This window comes from Homo sapiens, chromosome 1 (genome assembly GCF_000001405.40).
Source record: "Homo sapiens chromosome 1, GRCh38.p14 Primary Assembly".
NCBI classification, from domain to species: Eukaryota; Metazoa; Chordata; class Mammalia; order Primates; family Hominidae; genus Homo; species Homo sapiens.
The window spans coordinates 203,859,766-203,875,237 of record NC_000001.11 but is presented as its reverse complement, the minus strand read 5'-3'; the positions used below and the strand labels follow the sequence as shown (position 1 = coordinate 203,875,237).

Here is a 15,472-nt window from a genome sequence, read left to right as displayed (position 1 = left end):
ACCTCCTAGGCACAAGTAATCCTCCTGCCTCAACCTCTGAAGTAGCTGGGACCACAGCCCTAACTGGCTTTTTTAAAATTTATTTTTTATAGAAATGGGGTTTCACAGGCCAGGCGCAGTGGCTCACACCTGTAATCCCAGCACTTTTTAGGAGGCCGAGGCAGTGGACCACCTGAGGTTGGGAGTTCGAGACCAGCCTGACCAACATGGAGAAACCCCATCTCTACTAAAATTACAAAAAAATTTAGCCAGGCATGGTGGTGCATGCCTGTAATCCCAGCTACTTGGGAGGCTGAGGCAGGAGAATTGCTTGAACCCTGGAGGTGGAGGTTGTGGTGAGCCGAGATCATGCCATTGCACTCCAGCCTGGGCAAAGAGAGCGAAACTCCGTCTCAAAAATAAAAAAAAAGAAAAAAAGAAATGGGGTCTCACCATGTTGCCTAGGCTGGTCTCGAACTCCTAAACTCATGTGATCCTCCTGCCTCAGCCTCCCAAAGTGCTGGAATTACAGGTGTAAGCCACTGCACTCAACGTAAAACTAATTTTTTAAAAAAGGAATAAAATACCAAAATGATAAACAAAACAACCTATACCTATTAGTATGAAGTTTAGAAGGATAAGTATCTAACTCTTAACAGTGCTCATCTAAGGAGAATACTAGTAGGAAAAGGAGCAATTTTTTTTCTATTTCTATATACTGTTTGGATTTTGATCATAAAAATGTACTAAGCTAATACTTTTAAATTTTTAATAATTCCATTGGATATAACTTTTAAGTTCATCTCCAGGTACTAATAGACTTAAGTTCTCAAGCTACCTTAAAAATAAAGTTTTGCTGAGCGCAGTGGCTCACACCTGTAATCCCAGCACTTTGGGAGGCCAAAGCAGGAGGATTGCTTGACCTCAGGAGTTTGAGACTAGCCTGGGCAACAAGGTGCGATCCCATCTTTACAAAAAAAAAAATTAAAAATTATACCTAGATGTAGCTTCTCTACTCCCTCTCAAATCTCTGCCTGGTTTGGACCATCTGCCTCCACTCTTGCCTCTACCATGTTCATCAGGGTGACCCAGAAGTCCTACAAGGTATCCACCTCTGGTCCCTGGGTCTTCAGCAGCTGCTTCTAAATGAATAGGCCCAATGCTGCATTAGCTCCTCAAGGCTCTCCCAAGTGGGTAGCAGCAGTGCTTCTGGGGTGGCCTGGGTCTGAGTGGAGGCTATAGCAGGGCCAGTGGTAATGGGCAGCATCACAGCCATCATGATGAACCAGAGCCTGCTGAGCCCCCTTAAGCTGGAGGTGTAACCGAACATCCAGGCCATGTGTACCCAGGAGAAAGAGCAGATCAAGACTCTTAACAATAAGTTTGCCTCCATCACTGACACGATACAGCTCCTGGAGCAGCAGAACAAGATGCTGCAGAGCAAGTGTAGCCTCCAGTAGCAGCAGAAGACGGCACAGAGCAACATGGACAACATGCTCGAGAGCTACATCAACAACCTTCAGCAGCAGCTGTACATTCTGGGCCAGGAGCAGCTGAAGCTGGAGGCAGAGCTTGGCAACATGGAGGGGCTGCTGGAGGACTTCAAGAATAAGCATGAGGATGAGATCAATAAGTGTACAGAGATGGACAATGCATTTGTCTTCATCAAGAAGTTTACGGACAAAGCTTACATGAAGAATGTAGAGCTGGAGTCTTGCATGGAAGGGCTGATTGACGAGATCAATTTCATCAGGCAGCTGTATGAAGAGGAGATCCAGGAGCTGCAGTCCTAGATCTTGGACACATCTGTGGTCCTGTCCATGGACAACAGCCACTCCACGGACACAGACAGCATCACCACTGAGGTCAAGGACCAGTACGAGATTGCCAACCACAGCTGGGCCAGGCTGAGAACACACACCAGATCAAGTACGAGGAACTGCAGACACTGGCTGGGAAGCATGAAGATGATGTGTCGCACAAAGACAAAAATCTCTGAAATGAACCAGAACATCAGCTGGCTCCAGGCTGAGACTGAGAGCCTCAAAGGCCAGAAGACTTCCCTGGAGGCTGCCATCACGAATGCCAAGCAGCGTGGGAGCCGCCATTAAGGACAGCAATGCGGCTGGCTGCAGTGGCTCACCTCTGTTAATCCCAGTACCTTGGGAGGCCGAGGCAGATGGATTGTTTGAGGCCAGGAGTTCGAGACCAGCCTGGGCAACACAGCAAAGTCCTCTAACAAAAATACAAAAATTAGCTAGTCTTATAACCCAGTCTCAAAAAAATAAATAAAAATTTAAAAATAATTTTTTTTTTTAAAAGACACCACCCCCAAGCAGGCATACTAGGAGCTGAGGAATGTCAAGCTGGCCCTGGACACAGAGGTTGCCACCTACATGAAGCTGCTGGAGGGCAACAAGAACAGGCTGGAGTCTGGGATGCCGAACATAAGTATATATATAAAGACCACCAATGGCTGCTCAGGTGCACTGAGCTTGGCCTATGGGGCCTCACAAGCCCTGGCCTCATCTATGGCTAGGCTCCAGCTTTGGCTCTGGCAGGGGCTCTAGCTCCTTCAGCCGCACCAGCTTCTCCAGGGTTCCTCCAGGTGCCGTAGTTGTAAAGAAAATAGAGACGCGAGATGGGAAGCTGGTGTCCAAGTCCTCTGATGTCCTGCCCAAGTAAATGGCCATGGCAGCCCCTCCCAGCCCATCCCTTCCTGTGGATGCCCCAGAGCCTGTGGAAGAGGCCACTGTGCAGGGGAGCATAGGGAACAGAAGTGAACATAGCCTCACCTAAGAGAGGCTCAGTCCTAGCTCTCAGCCCACTCATGGAGGGAGTTTATTGCCTGGGGTACCCCCCTGGCCCATGACTCCAGCTATAAAACAATTTGTTTTTTGTTTTTTCCAAAATAAAGCCTCAACTACCTCTGCCATTAAAAAAAACAAAAAACAAAAAAACTGCCAGGCTTGGTGGTGTGTGCCTGTGGTCCCAGCTACTCGGGGCGCTTAAGTGGGAGAATCACTTGAGCCCAGGAGGTCAAGGTCACAGTGAACTGTGATTGTGCCATTGCACTCCAGCCTGGGCAACAGAGCAAGACTCTGTCTCAACAATAAAGTTCTAACAAGCAATTCCTCACAAAAGCATGAATGAGTAGATAGTTTAGTTAAGGAAAATGCCTGTGTTATCCAGTTAACCTGAGATGCTATTAGGCTTACCCCACCATGACACTTCCCAGCCCATAATGCCTTAATCCAAATTAGAGGTACACTCTCTAATCCTGAAACTGTTGACAAGTGTGATATGGCAAGAGCTGGCACCCCAAAGCACAATATCCTATGATTTTCAAACTTTTCCTTCTGCCTACCTGCTACTAATTGAACAGCAGGCCCACATCACCACTTTTCTTTCAGAGCCTGATTCTCTATTCCTCCCACCCCCTGCTTCAAGAATGCTATGAGGGTTAGGGGTGTCTATCAAGACCCCCTCAGCAACCAACAGCCATTCCAGAAAAGCTGACATAACCCAGGGCTGCCAACAAGAGCAGCTTCCCAGCAGGATGTTTTAGTAACCTTAACGAGGCAGAGAGCAACGCCTCTCGTAAATTCTGGTTGGAAGAAACAATCTAGAGATGGTGGAAAAGTACAACTTAAAAAGCAAACACCACAGGCTCCAGTAGAGCAGGAAAGCAAGCAGAGATTTCTAAATACAGAGCTCAATTGTAAGAGTTCACTGTACCTTAATTCTCACTATCATCATTTGCTCTGTCAAAAATAGAACCTTCCATGTCTTGATCCATTCAGAATAAGCCACAGCAGGCACAGCTCTGCTTCCACAGGGCAGCCAGGTCAGAAAGGCCACACAGGGAAATGGAAAAGGCAGCCAGCAGGTTTTCTTAGAGATTATACTCCTCTGGGCTTTTATCCTTCTTCCCAGCTATTCTGGTGCCAAGAAAGCTGCAGGGAGGTCTTTGCTCTGCTCTGAAAAAGCTTCAATTCAATCTTCTCACCAGCAGGGCTGAAGCAGTCTCAGGGCTGTAACTCCCTCTGCTGCCCAATGTTTTCTTTGCATGTTGTGATCAGTTTAATTAATTTCAAACTCAAATGTTAAAAGAACTAATGCAGCCCTTTATTTCAAAACATAATCAAAAGAGCATGAGTTCAGACAGGAGGAATATAGATGGAATGCATGGTTCAAAGCTGGATACACTTCTGCATTCACCTACAAATCTCCTCTATCTCGGAAAGGATTTCTTTTATTCAGTTTCATGAAAAGTCTCCTTCACAGGCATGTAGAAAAGCAGGAGCCAGACTTCTTGGTCCTTCCTCACCCGTCCTTAATAACAACATGGCCTTTAGCAGAACTTAAGGCAGGCCTTATTCATCTTTCAAGATCCAATTTAAATAGCACTTAGAATGAGGCATTAAAACCACCTGCTTACCTGTCTGTTTCACTGTATTGATTCAACAGTGTCTAGCTAACAGCAGATGCTCACTATCTAACAGGATTCTAACTAGAACCATGTGCGATACTGGGGGAAGGGAAACCTGTCCATATAAGAATTCAACCAGCAATCACTGGGGGAAGAACCAAAATTCTTAAGAGATAAGAATAAGAGACAGGTGTATTTCTCCAACATACCATTATTCTGCCTAACAATTTGCCTACCAGCTATGCTTGTGGTCCTTTTCAGATTACCAATCTCAGTCTCTTTCCTGTAAACTCTTAACTGATTTTTAATGTACTTGAAAGGCACTTCATTCTTTCCCTATATCCAAATACTTCTCACATTCTGATCTTAGCGATAAAATTCACAAAGACCTCACAGTGACTCAATGAGAGTGTTGAGCAATACTGACCCCATTAAATAATGTACCCAACATATTTAGGTTAGAAACTCTGGTATTCCAGCATCCAGAACTACAAGTGATGAAGACTTTTGTTAGTGCAATAACTCTTATTTATTTTTCTGAACCCTCCCCTTCTCCACCTCCCAATACTGGAAGCTTACCCATCAGGCAGAATTCCTAATCTGCCTCAAAATCTACAGGTCCAAGCTCTGCGAATACCAAGTGCTCAAGGCAACTGCGACCCTTCAGAAAACTAAATACCAGCAACGAATGGTGTTACTGTGTAAAAAGTTTCTACTGCTGAATAGTAAGAAGCAATGTAAATTTTTTAATACAAACAATCCCATAGTATTTATTGCCATCTTGTAGTAACACGAGGGTAATCAAAACAATATGAATAAATGTTCACATTGGACAAAGGACATCTAAAAACAAACTGTATCCTTCTCAACAATTTCTCACTTCATTGATCATTTCTAGTTGGAGACACTTTGTAGCAGAGTAATATTATCTCCTTTTAGCATGATCCGACCTGCAACACAAAAACAACAAAAAGCTATTAATAGCCACACACTCAGATGTTTTACTCTCAGAATTTTGTATCCAGTTTTTGAACAATATTTTGAAAATGCTTTCTTATAAAAATATGTGAACATTTTCAAGTGTCCATATAGTGAAAGGCTTTCTGGCTCCATTAGAATACATTTATCTTTTCAAGAGACTAACATAGGTAGATGACATTTCATGACAAATATCATTTCTATGGACTAAGTCAACTCAATAGGCCTCATACAACATTTCCCAATGCTGAATTTGTAATAAAAGTTTGGAAATGAGTCGTATGTCAAGTTTGGGAAATACAGCATATTATAACTCCATTCTTAAAGCTGTTAGTATATTAAAGACTCCACCCTATCTCTACTAAAAATACAAAATTAGCAGAGCCTGGTGGCGCGTGCCTGTAATCCCAGCTACTTGGGAGGCTGAGGCAGGAGAATTGCTTGAATCCGGGAGGCGGAGGTTGCAGTGAGCCAAGATGGCACCATTGCACTCCAGCCTGGGCAACAAGAGCAAAATTCATCTCCAAAAAAAAAAAAAAAAAAAAAAAAAAAAAAAAAAGACTCCATCCTACAATAAACAAACCTGTTTTACCCAAAATTTCCTAAGGTTATTTAAGACAATACTTTTCTGAGAAATTTATAAACATCTTCAGGAACACTGGTGTTCACTGGTAGAACGGTTTGAGACACGTTGATCAACTCCAACAGTAATTAAACTGTTCTACTTTCCCAGGCTTCTGCAGGTATTAATAACATTCTATTCTACAGGATAAATACTACCATGGGAATTCAACAGTTGGTAAATAATTTATGAATAATATGACCTCAGTAAGGCTAAGCTTGCCCGTCCTGGCAAGACATCTTTAAATCTAAAAAACCCGGCTGGGTATGGTGGCTCACACCTATAATCCCAGCACTTTGGGAGGCCAAGGTGGGTGGAATGCCTGAGCTTAGGATTCGAGACCAGCCTGGACAACACGGTGACACCCCGTCTTCTACTAAAATACAAAAAATTAGCCAGGTGTGGTGGCATGCCCTGTAATCCCAGTTACTTGGGAGGCTGAGGCAGGAGAATCGCTTGAACCCAGGAGGTGGAGGTTGCAGTGAGCTGAGATTGTGCCATGGCACTCAAGCCTGGGAGACAGAGTGAGACTCCGTCTCCAAAAAAATAAATAAATAAATAACAATAAATCTAAAAAACCCAGGCTTTCATAAAAATAGTCTAAGCAGGAAGCAGCCAGCGAAACACCATACTGCTTCTCAGAATCTACTTTCCATATATCTAGTTCAGGTTGAAGAGAATCCTGAGGGTCTGAAAGAGAGACACCTGAAACCCACCACTGATAAAAGTATTAGTGAGCATTTAACAAATAAAGACAAAATGCCTAAATAAACCTCAAGTGAATGGGATGTTAACAGAAATGATTCAGTGTGTCTTGATGAAACCGTGAATCCTAAGACCATTCATTAACTGGGTTAAGAAATACCATTCATTGCCAGGCTTAGTGGCTCACACATGTAATCCCAGCATTTGGGAGGCCGAGGCAGGTGGATTGCCTGAGCTCAGAAGTTAGAGACCAGCCTGGGCAACACAGTGAAACCCCGTCTCTACTAAAACACAAAAAATCAGCCAGGCGTGGTGGTACACGCCTGTAGTCCCAGCTACTTGGGAGTCTAAGGCAGGAGAATTGCTTGAACCTGGGAGGCAGAGGTTGCAGTGAGCCAAAATCACGTCATTACACTCCAGCCTGAGCGACAGAGACTCTGTCTCCAAAAACAAAAGAAAGAAATACCATTCATTGTTCAAATATTTTTTAGTTTCTATTATGTGCCAGGCATTGAGTTAGGTACTGAGCACACTGGGATCAAAAAAGGCATGACTCATACACTTACGGTGAAGCATCTGATAACAGGAGAGACACTAATAAAATAATTTCAATAATAAAGGTTTTACTACAAACTCAGGGAGCACATAATCCCGCCTTCCCCCATCCCCAGCAAAACCAAATTAAACTTTGAACTTTTTAGAGCAGGGCTTCCTAACCCCTGGGCCACAGACCAGTACCAGTCCTGGTCCCTGTTAGAAACTGGGTCACACAGCAAGAGGTGAGCAGTGGGCGAGGTGGCGGAGCTTCATCTGTATTTACAGCCACTCCCCATCACTAGTATTCCCGCCTGGGCTCTGCCTCCTGTCATATCAGTGGAAGCCTTAGATTCTCATAGGAGCGCAAAACCTATTGTGAACCGGGCAAAGAGGGATCTAGGTTGCGCACTCCTTATGAGAACCTAATGCCTGATGATCTGTCACTGTCTCCCATCACCCCCAGATGGGACTGTCTAGTTGTGGGAAAACAGGCTCAGGGCTCCCACTGATTCTACATGATGGTGAGTTGTATAATTATTTCATTATATATTACAATGTAATAATAATAAAGTGCACTATAAATGTAATGTGCCTGAATCATCCGAAAGCCATCCCCCACACCCCAGTCCACAGAAAAATTGTCTTCCACAAAACCGGTCCCTGGTGCCAAAATGGTTGGGGACCACTGTTTTTTTTTTTTTTTTTGAGACAGAGTCTCGCTGTGTCGCCCAGGCTGGAGCGCAGTGGCGTGATCTCAGCTCACTGCAAGCTCCGCCTCCCAGGTTCGCGCCATTCTCCTGCCTCAGCCTCCCGAGTAGCTGGAACTACAGGCACCCGCCACCATGCCCAGCTAATTTTTTTTTTTTTTTTTTTTTTTCAGGAAAGACAGGGTTTCACCATGTTAGCCAGGATGGTCTTGAATTCCTGACCTCGTAATCCACCCGCCTCGGCCTCCCAAAGTGCTGGGATTACAGGTGTGAGCCACTGCACCTGGCCTAGGGGACCGCTGTCTTAAAAGAAGTGATATTTGATCTGAGCTCTACAGACACAAGGAATATCATATACAAAGATTAATGGTTGGGCAAATCTGCAGATTCAAAGAACTGAAATAAGACAAGTGTTGCTAAAGCTCAGAAAGTGAGGCAGTGATACGAGATGAGCAGAGGGAGATAAGACTAGATCATGAAGATCATTAGATTTGCAGAATCATTAGATTTTTTTTTATCCTAACAGCAACAGGAAGTCATTGCAGTATTTCAAGCAAAGGGATGACATATGTTCAGACTGGTGTTTTTAAAAGATGAGTGAGGCCTGGAAAGCAAACTGGAGGTAGCTGCAGAGAAATCAATTAGTAAGCTGAACTGGAAACTGGTGCCATTCAATAAGGCAGGAAATAATAATACAATAGCTCTAAACAGTGTGAGTTGGAATTGAGTTTGCTTTCTGATATGCTGACTTTAAGAAGCCTTTGAAACATTCAAGTAGAAATGGTGAATAGGCCCAGACAAACAAATTTGGGAGTCAGTATTTATAGATGGTAACTGAAGCTGTACTCCAGTGCCTAGGCAGACAATACTGAATGACAGGAGGGCCTAGAACCAAGCCTGGAGCAACTCATTTAGTGATTGGGTCCCAAGAATGAATATATAAGTCTGAAAAATAGCCAGAAGTGAAAAATAAAAACCCAAGTATAATATCGTAGAGCCAAGGTGTGATACTGCAAAATATTTACTTGGTCTTCAATCCCATACAACTCCTAAAATCCTTAGAATCTCTAAGATGTTGCCTTTTTGTATGCTAATGATTGACTGATGGCCAGCAGCCCCTACAACGTTTCAGCATGGGAGCTGCTCACTGAAAGGACCAAGGCATTAGTGATGTCGGACTTTCAGCCCCACCCTCCCACCCGGGGAGGAGGAAAGGAGCTGAAGGTTAAGCTGATCACCAACGGCCAATTTAATCAGTCATGCCTACATAATGAAGCTTACATAAAAACTGAAAACAATGGGGTTCTGATAGCTCAACATGTGGAGGTTCCCAGAGTGGTGAGCTTGCAGAGGGCACAAAAGCTTCGCATCCCTTCCTATATGCCTTGCCCTACGCATCTCTTCATCTGTACTTTTTGTAATATCCTTTATAACAGACCAGTAAATACAAGTGTTTCCCCGAGTTCTGTGAGCTGCTCTAGCAAATTAATCAAACCAACGGAGGGGTCATGGGACCCAGTTTATAGCCAGTCAGTAAGAAGCACAGGTAAAACAATCTGGAGCTGACAATTAGCATCTGGTGGAGGACTGAGGGGCATGGAAGGCAATCTTGGGGATTGAGCCCTCAACCTCTGGGAACTGACGCTATCTCAGGTAGATAGTGTTAGAACTGAACTGAACTTGACGACTCTGAGCTGATGTCCACTGCCGAACTGATTGCTTGCTTGGTGTGTGGGGAAATATGCCCATACATCTGGTCACAGAAGTCTTCTGTGTTAATTATTGTCAACTGAGGAAACAGAAAAATCTACTTGGGTTTTTCCTGCCACTCAGACACGGGAACAAAGCGCTTTAAGGAGGGAGCAGCCAACAGTGCCAAATGCTGTTGAGAGTTTAATAAAATGAGGATTAGTACTGATCATTAGATTTAATACCACTAGTCTTTGGTTCCCTTGGTGAGAGCTCTCTGGGTGGAGAAGCCAAAATGGAGTGTGGTGAGGAGTGAGTAGTAGAGGATGATTTCAAAAGTGTACTACTACTCTGAATAATAACTTCTCAAATGCAAAATAAATTCAAACATGAACTGAGTTGCAGGTCACTGAATTCTGCAAGTGAATAAAATATTTCTAGAATTCTGTAAGACCACTTCTATCCTTACCCAGTTGTTTTCTTGACTTTGTTTTAGAATGAATCTCTTCTGCATCATCTAATACAAGGTTCATATACTCATCAAAACCCTAGAAAAATAAACAAACTGTTATCTTCAAAGAAAATCACATTCAAACCATTTTAAATGAGTATACCTATGCAGATAAAAACTCCAACTAACTTCAAAGATTCACTCTTCTCAAGCCCCACCCCACCTTCCACCCAAAGTTTTTTTTTTTTTTTTTTTTTTTTTGAGAAAGGATCTCACTTTGTCTTCCAGGCTAGAGTGCAGTGGTGCAACCTCGGCTTACTGCAGCTGGACCTCCTGGGTTCAAGCAATTCTTCTGCCTCAGCTCCCCCCAAGTAGCTGGAACTACAGGGCGCACCACCATGCCTGGCTACTTTTTGTATTTTTGGTAGAAACAGGGTTTCATCATGTTGCCCAGGCTGGTCTCGAACTCTGGAGCTAAAGTGATTCATCATGCTCGGCCTCCCTAAGTGCTAGGATTACAGGCGTGAGCCACCTTGCCCAGCAAAATATTTAAAAATTAGCTGGACCTGGTGGTGTATGCCTATAGTTCCCAGCTACTAGAGGCTGAGGTGGAAAAATCACTTGAGCCAAGGAGTTCAAGATTGCAGTGAGCTGAGAGCACCTGGGTGACAGAGCCGGACCCCAACTTAAAAAAAAAAATTTAGGGTAGCCTGCTATCCCAGAAGCCTTATTTAACTAACCCCACTGAGCTCTCTATTCAGGTATCACCTAACCCACAACAAATAACCCCACCCTCCCTAATTTCATTTATTTTGTCCCCCCTCTCCATACTAACATTGTCGCTCAATATTTTTTTTTCGAATAATTTTTAAAAGTTAATTTTCAGCCAGGCGTTGTGGCTCATGCCTGTAATCCCAAGACTTTGAGAGGCTGAGGTGGGAGAATCACTTGAGCCTAGGAGTTTGAGACCAGCCTGGGCAACACAGTGAGACCTCATCTCTATAAAAAATAAAAATTTAGCAGGCTGTGATGGTGCACGCTTCTGATCCTAGCTACTTGGGAGGCTGAGGCAGGAGGACTACTTGAGCCCGGGAGGTTGAGGCTGCAACGAGCCATGATTGTGCCACTGCACTCCAGCCTAAGCAACAGAACAAAGCCCTTTCTCAAAAATCAAATACAAATTTTCTTCTCAACATAGACAGAGGAAAGAAAATGAATTAAAAGTTATTTTCCCTATTAAAAACTACCCAATCCTTATCTATCAACAATGAAAAAAGGCTAAACAGCAGCACCTGAAAAACTTTCCTTAGGTTGGATCTTTGACTTTTTATACACTGTTCTGGCTAGACACTTTCTGTTAAGTCTTTTTCTACGACCGAACTGCTATGAGATGAAATCGCCTGGATACTCACAATGATACAGCCTTCTATCCGCATATTCACTTGCTCATAGAGCCACACCTGAATCCGCGATCTCTGAAATAATCATAAAAGTGGAAACGTTAAAAAAAGAAAAATAGGGCCGGGCGCGGTGGCTCACGCCTGTAATCCCAGCACTTTCGGAGGCCGAGGGAGGTGGATCACAAGGTCAAGAGATAGAGACCATCCTCGTTAACATGGTGAAACCCCATCTCTACTAAAAATACAAAAAAAATTAGCTGGGCGTGGTGGCGCACGCCTGTAGTCCCAGCTACTCGGGACGCTGAAGCAGGAGAATCGCTTGAACCCGGGAGGCAGAGGTTGCAGTGAGCTGAGATCGCGCCACTGCACTCCAGCCTGGGCACAGTGAGACTCCGTCTCAAAAAAAAGAAAAGAAAAACAGGCCAGGTGCCTCGATTCACACCGTTCCCATACTTTGGGATGCCAAAGCGGAATAATTCGCTTTGTGGCCAGGTGTTCAATATAAGCCTGCGCAACATTAAGCAAGATCTCCCCGCCCCCCGCCCCCCAAAAAATTGAAGTATACAAAACCTAACCATTTTGGTCAAACGACAAGAGAAATATGGCTCCTAAAAAAATTGTAATGAATGTAAGTCAAAAGTTTTAACTAATTAGCCCATATCTAAGAATTATTCACCAATAATAATAACCTCAAAAAGAATTTTCATTTAATAAGTTCTATATTGGAACTGTATAAGCTAATAATTTTCCTGTGATTTTGGGACTCAATATTTCTTACTGCTTCTGGTCTCAATCTATTAAGAGTGAAAGTTTTTGACAGCATAGCACAAAGCAGTAATTTCTAATGACCAAGGGCTTATCTCCTGCAGCAAAATCCAGTTCCAAAACAAAGCCTTCTCATGTCACACACCTAACAACTAGGACAGGAGCCCTCAATTCAGGTGGTTAAGAATTATTATCACCTGAAATTAATGTTTTTCAGTTGTGTTATCACACTATAAAATTTAAGTTGCTAAAATTTCCCTCAAAGGAAAGCAGCTGCCACTAAACTCCTCTGAAGCTACCCCTTCTCTCTTCCTTTTTTCGTCTTTAAGTTTTCCCACAGGTATTAAACACACCACCTCTTGACATGGTTTAAGTTGGCTGGGTTTTTCTTCCAATGTTTCATCCTAAAGGGGAGAGGTTCCAATGTTCTAGCCATAATCACTACTAACAAAACTACTGATGCCCAAATACCATGGTCAAGTCTGCTAATAATACTTTTTGGAATTAAAAAGTATTTTTGATCTTGCAAAGTAATGGATACAATTCTTTGCATGTTGGGAAGTGGCATGGATACACACCACTTCATCACATTAGTGCTTTCTAAGTACTCCTTCCCCTCAATTACCCTCCAATCTCCAGTTACATCTATTTTTAAATTCTAGAACACAGCGATCGCTCAGGTTAACACAAAAAACTAAATCAGTTCACCTCTTATTTAAAAAGTAGTTACGAAACAAGCAACTTACGTACATTTTGTAAGTATCTGAAGATGAGGTTCTGCACCACAGTGGCTAAGGAAAAAATACAAAAGCAGCATAGACTCTGCTTCCTGAAACAACCGGACGACGCTATTCCCGTCTCACCTTTGTTTACTAAACGCGAGGTCTGGTGCTTACGCAAACAACAAGTGCCCAGCTGGGCATTCGTTACGGGTCTTCTAAAGACTAAAGAACATCCATTCCACTTTCATCCCCCTGGAGTTTCCCAAAACCGTTAACTCCCGTTTTCACTCCGCACCTGAAGTTCTCTTCCCTCCTTTTGCCGCGTCCATTCCTGCATTCCCCACGGCAGGGGTCCCCCCAAGACCACCTCCCCACCATCACGGTTCAACTACCCGCGCTTTCTTCCAGTCTTGGTAGCCCCGGGGGCTCATGGGATGTGGATCCGTACTCCACTATCCCAGGCCTGCCCTCAGCCTGCGCCTTCGCACCCCGTATTCTGACCCGAACCTCCTAGTCCTGACATCCTGCGTAGGATACGATGGGCTGCACCATAACCTTCTGCACTTTCTGACCCTGGCCACGGTACGCCATGGTGGAATTTCACAAAGAGCACACCCGCACGCTGCCTCTGAGAGCAACTTCCGGAATAAAGAACCGGAAGCGGAAGTGTGAAGGTCACGCGGCGGCATGGGCGGCTCCTGGGAAATGCCCCTCTAGCCATGAAGTCACGTTTCTTCGCTGCATGGCCTCCGAGGGAGGCCAAACTGAGGCGTCTGCGCTGTGGAAGGTGGGCCGGTCCTACAGCGCCACCTGGAGGGAGGCGGGAGGAGGTGCCTTCGGTTGTATAGTGGCCGTGGTAGGAGGAGTGCCGTCCTGTCTCCAATTTCTTTTCTTTTTTTTTTTTTGAGGCGAAGTCTCGCTCTGTCGCCCAGGCTGGAGTGCAGTGGCGCGATTTCAGCTCACTGCAACCTCAGCCTCCAGGGTTCAAGCGATTCTCCTGCCTCAGCCTCCCGAGTAGCTGGGACTACAGGCGCCTGCCACCACGTCCGACTAATTTTTTGTGTTTTTAGTAGAGACGGGGTTTCACCATGTTGGCCAGGATGGTCTCGATCTCCTGACCTCATGATCCGCCCGCCTCGGCCTCCCAAAGTGCTGGGATTACAGGCGTAAGCCACCGCGCCCGGCCTGTATCTCCATTTTCTGAGTTAGCTTGAAAAGCCAAAATCGTCCCAGTGTGTATCTCTATGTGTAAAATGAGTTAATTTCGTGCCTTTCCTAAAGCCTATTTTGCTGGAGTTTAGGCTTGATAGCAGCGTTGTGGTGGAAAGGGTAGGGCGGCAAGGAGCCCAAACTTCAGGCCTCCCACCTCTGGCAGTCGGCCAGAGGCGGTCTGCATTCCAAAGCCAGACGCCTGGTTCCCTCCAGTTACGGATTCAATTCTCATCCATTTCGTGGAGAGTTACTGTTCAGGTGGCAACTGAGGGTGGCGATTTACCAGGAAGACGCTGAAATCCACATGCTGGGCGCAAATCCAGCTCTTTTAGAGTTGGTGACCAAGGATAAATTACTCAGCCTCGCCATGTCTTGGCTTAGTTTCCAAAACGGAGATTATAGTAAAGATTAACTTTACTCAGGGGCTTAAAGATTCAATGAAATAATTGTCTATGTGTGCACACAGTTAGGCGTCAGCCAGTGTCAGAACATGTCCTTCCCTGGATAACACAGCTACTAAGTGGAGCAGCTGGAATTTGTAGGTGTGCCTGACCCCAAAGTCCACCTACCTTTCCATTGTGTCATGGCTTGTGGCCTGGCAGAGATTTCACTTAATTGGCATACACATGTTATAGAGGAGGAAACTGAAGTTTAGACTTTTGAAAGGACTTGCCTAAGGGAACACGGATTAGGGCAAATGGCAGAATCAAAATTAGCTTTTCTGAGGGCTTCTGTTTAATGGGGATAATAGTAATAACGACTTCAGAAAGGGGTTGAGTTGAAAGTGATTTTTAAACTACACAAAGCGGCCAGGCTCACGCCTGTAATCCCAGCATTTTGGGAGGCCGAGGCAGGTGGATCAACTGAGGTCAGGAGTTCGAGACCAGCCTGGGCAACATGGTGAAACCTTGTCTCTACTAAAAATACAAAAATTAGCCATGCATGGTAGCACATGCCTGTAATCCCAGCTACTTGGGAGACTGAGACAGGAGAATCACTTGAACCCAGGAGGCAGAGGTTGCAGTGAGCCGAGATCATGCCACTGCACTCCAGCCTTGGTGACGGAGCGAGACTCCGTCTCAAAAAAATAAATAAGAATAAATAAATAAATAAACTACACAAAGCTGGCAAATGCATGGGATAACTATTTCCTTTAAAAAATTTCAGCCAGGGCTGGGCACAGTGGCTCATGCCTGTAAATCCCAGCACTTTGGGAGGCTGAGGCAGGCAGATCACAAGGTCAGGAGTTTGAGACCAGCCTGGCCAATATGGT

The 15,472-nt window shown here is 44.6% G+C and overlaps 1 protein-coding gene and 1 pseudogene across 5 annotated transcripts, besides 4 other annotated features; one reads left to right on the top strand and one right to left on the bottom strand.

The window, feature by feature from the left end:
- KRT8P29 (keratin 8 pseudogene 29) lies at positions 975 to 2,102 on the top strand (annotated as a pseudogene).
- Positions 4,086 to 13,639, bottom strand: SNRPE (small nuclear ribonucleoprotein polypeptide E). 5 transcript variants are annotated; one of them, NM_001304464.2, is made up of 5 exons: positions 13,495 to 13,639; positions 13,016 to 13,056; positions 11,513 to 11,575; positions 10,119 to 10,197; positions 4,086 to 5,361 (listed from the first exon to the last, which is right to left on the bottom strand). In NM_001304464.2, the coding sequence occupies exons 1-5, from the start codon at positions 13,508 to 13,510 to the stop codon at positions 5,306 to 5,308; spliced, it is 255 nt and encodes an 84-aa protein (NP_001291393.1). In that variant the 5' UTR covers positions 13,511 to 13,639; the 3' UTR covers positions 4,086 to 5,305. The 5 variants fall into 5 exon arrangements, 4 of the variants coding, with proteins under 4 accessions (NP_001291393.1, NP_003085.1, NP_001315566.1 ...); NM_003094.4 differs by having other exon boundaries at positions 13,016 to 13,042; positions 13,525 to 13,639; NM_001328637.2 differs by lacking the exon at positions 13,495 to 13,639 and adding an exon at positions 13,283 to 13,391.
- Positions 12,534 to 13,109: an enhancer, noted in NCBI's record as "NANOG-H3K27ac-H3K4me1 hESC enhancer chr1:203831257-203831832 (GRCh37/hg19 assembly coordinates)". NCBI's record gives its function as "activates a minimal SCP1, AML or CMV promoter by ChIP-STARR-seq in primed H9 embryonic stem cells {active_cell/tissue: H9 hESC(primed)}" and the evidence as "EXISTENCE:reporter gene assay evidence [ECO:0000049][PMID:30033119]".
- Positions 13,495 to 13,754: an enhancer, noted in NCBI's record as "active region_2358". NCBI's record gives its function as "activates an Ori minimal core promoter by ATAC-STARR-seq in GM12878 lymphoblastoid cells {active_cell/tissue: GM12878}" and the evidence as "EXISTENCE:reporter gene assay evidence [ECO:0000049][PMID:35858748]".
- Positions 13,495 to 13,857: a biological region, named in NCBI's record as "Sharpr-MPRA regulatory region 5904".
- Positions 13,563 to 13,857: an enhancer, noted in NCBI's record as "tiled region #5904; HepG2 Activating DNase unmatched - State 1:Tss, and K562 Activating DNase unmatched - State 1:Tss". NCBI's record gives its function as "activates a minimal TATA promoter and a strong SV40 promoter by Sharpr-MPRA in HepG2 and K562 cells {active_cell/tissue: HepG2 | K562}" and the evidence as "EXISTENCE:reporter gene assay evidence [ECO:0000049][PMID:27701403]".

Bases quoted from the DNA above. Each gene is read 5' to 3' on its own strand.
- SNRPE (NM_003094.4), bottom strand. From the start codon at position 13,578: ATGGCGTACCGTGGCCAGGGTCAGAAAGTGCAGAAGGTTATGGTGCAG. The intron at 13,043-13,524 runs GTATCCTACGCA...ACTGTGGTGCAG, and splicing joins AGGTTATGGTGCAGCCCATC to AACCTCATCTTCAGATACTT. The intron at 5,362-10,118 runs GTAAGGATAGAA...TTTGTGTTGCAG, and splicing joins AAAGTCAAGAAAACAACTGG to GTCGGATCATGCTAAAAGGA.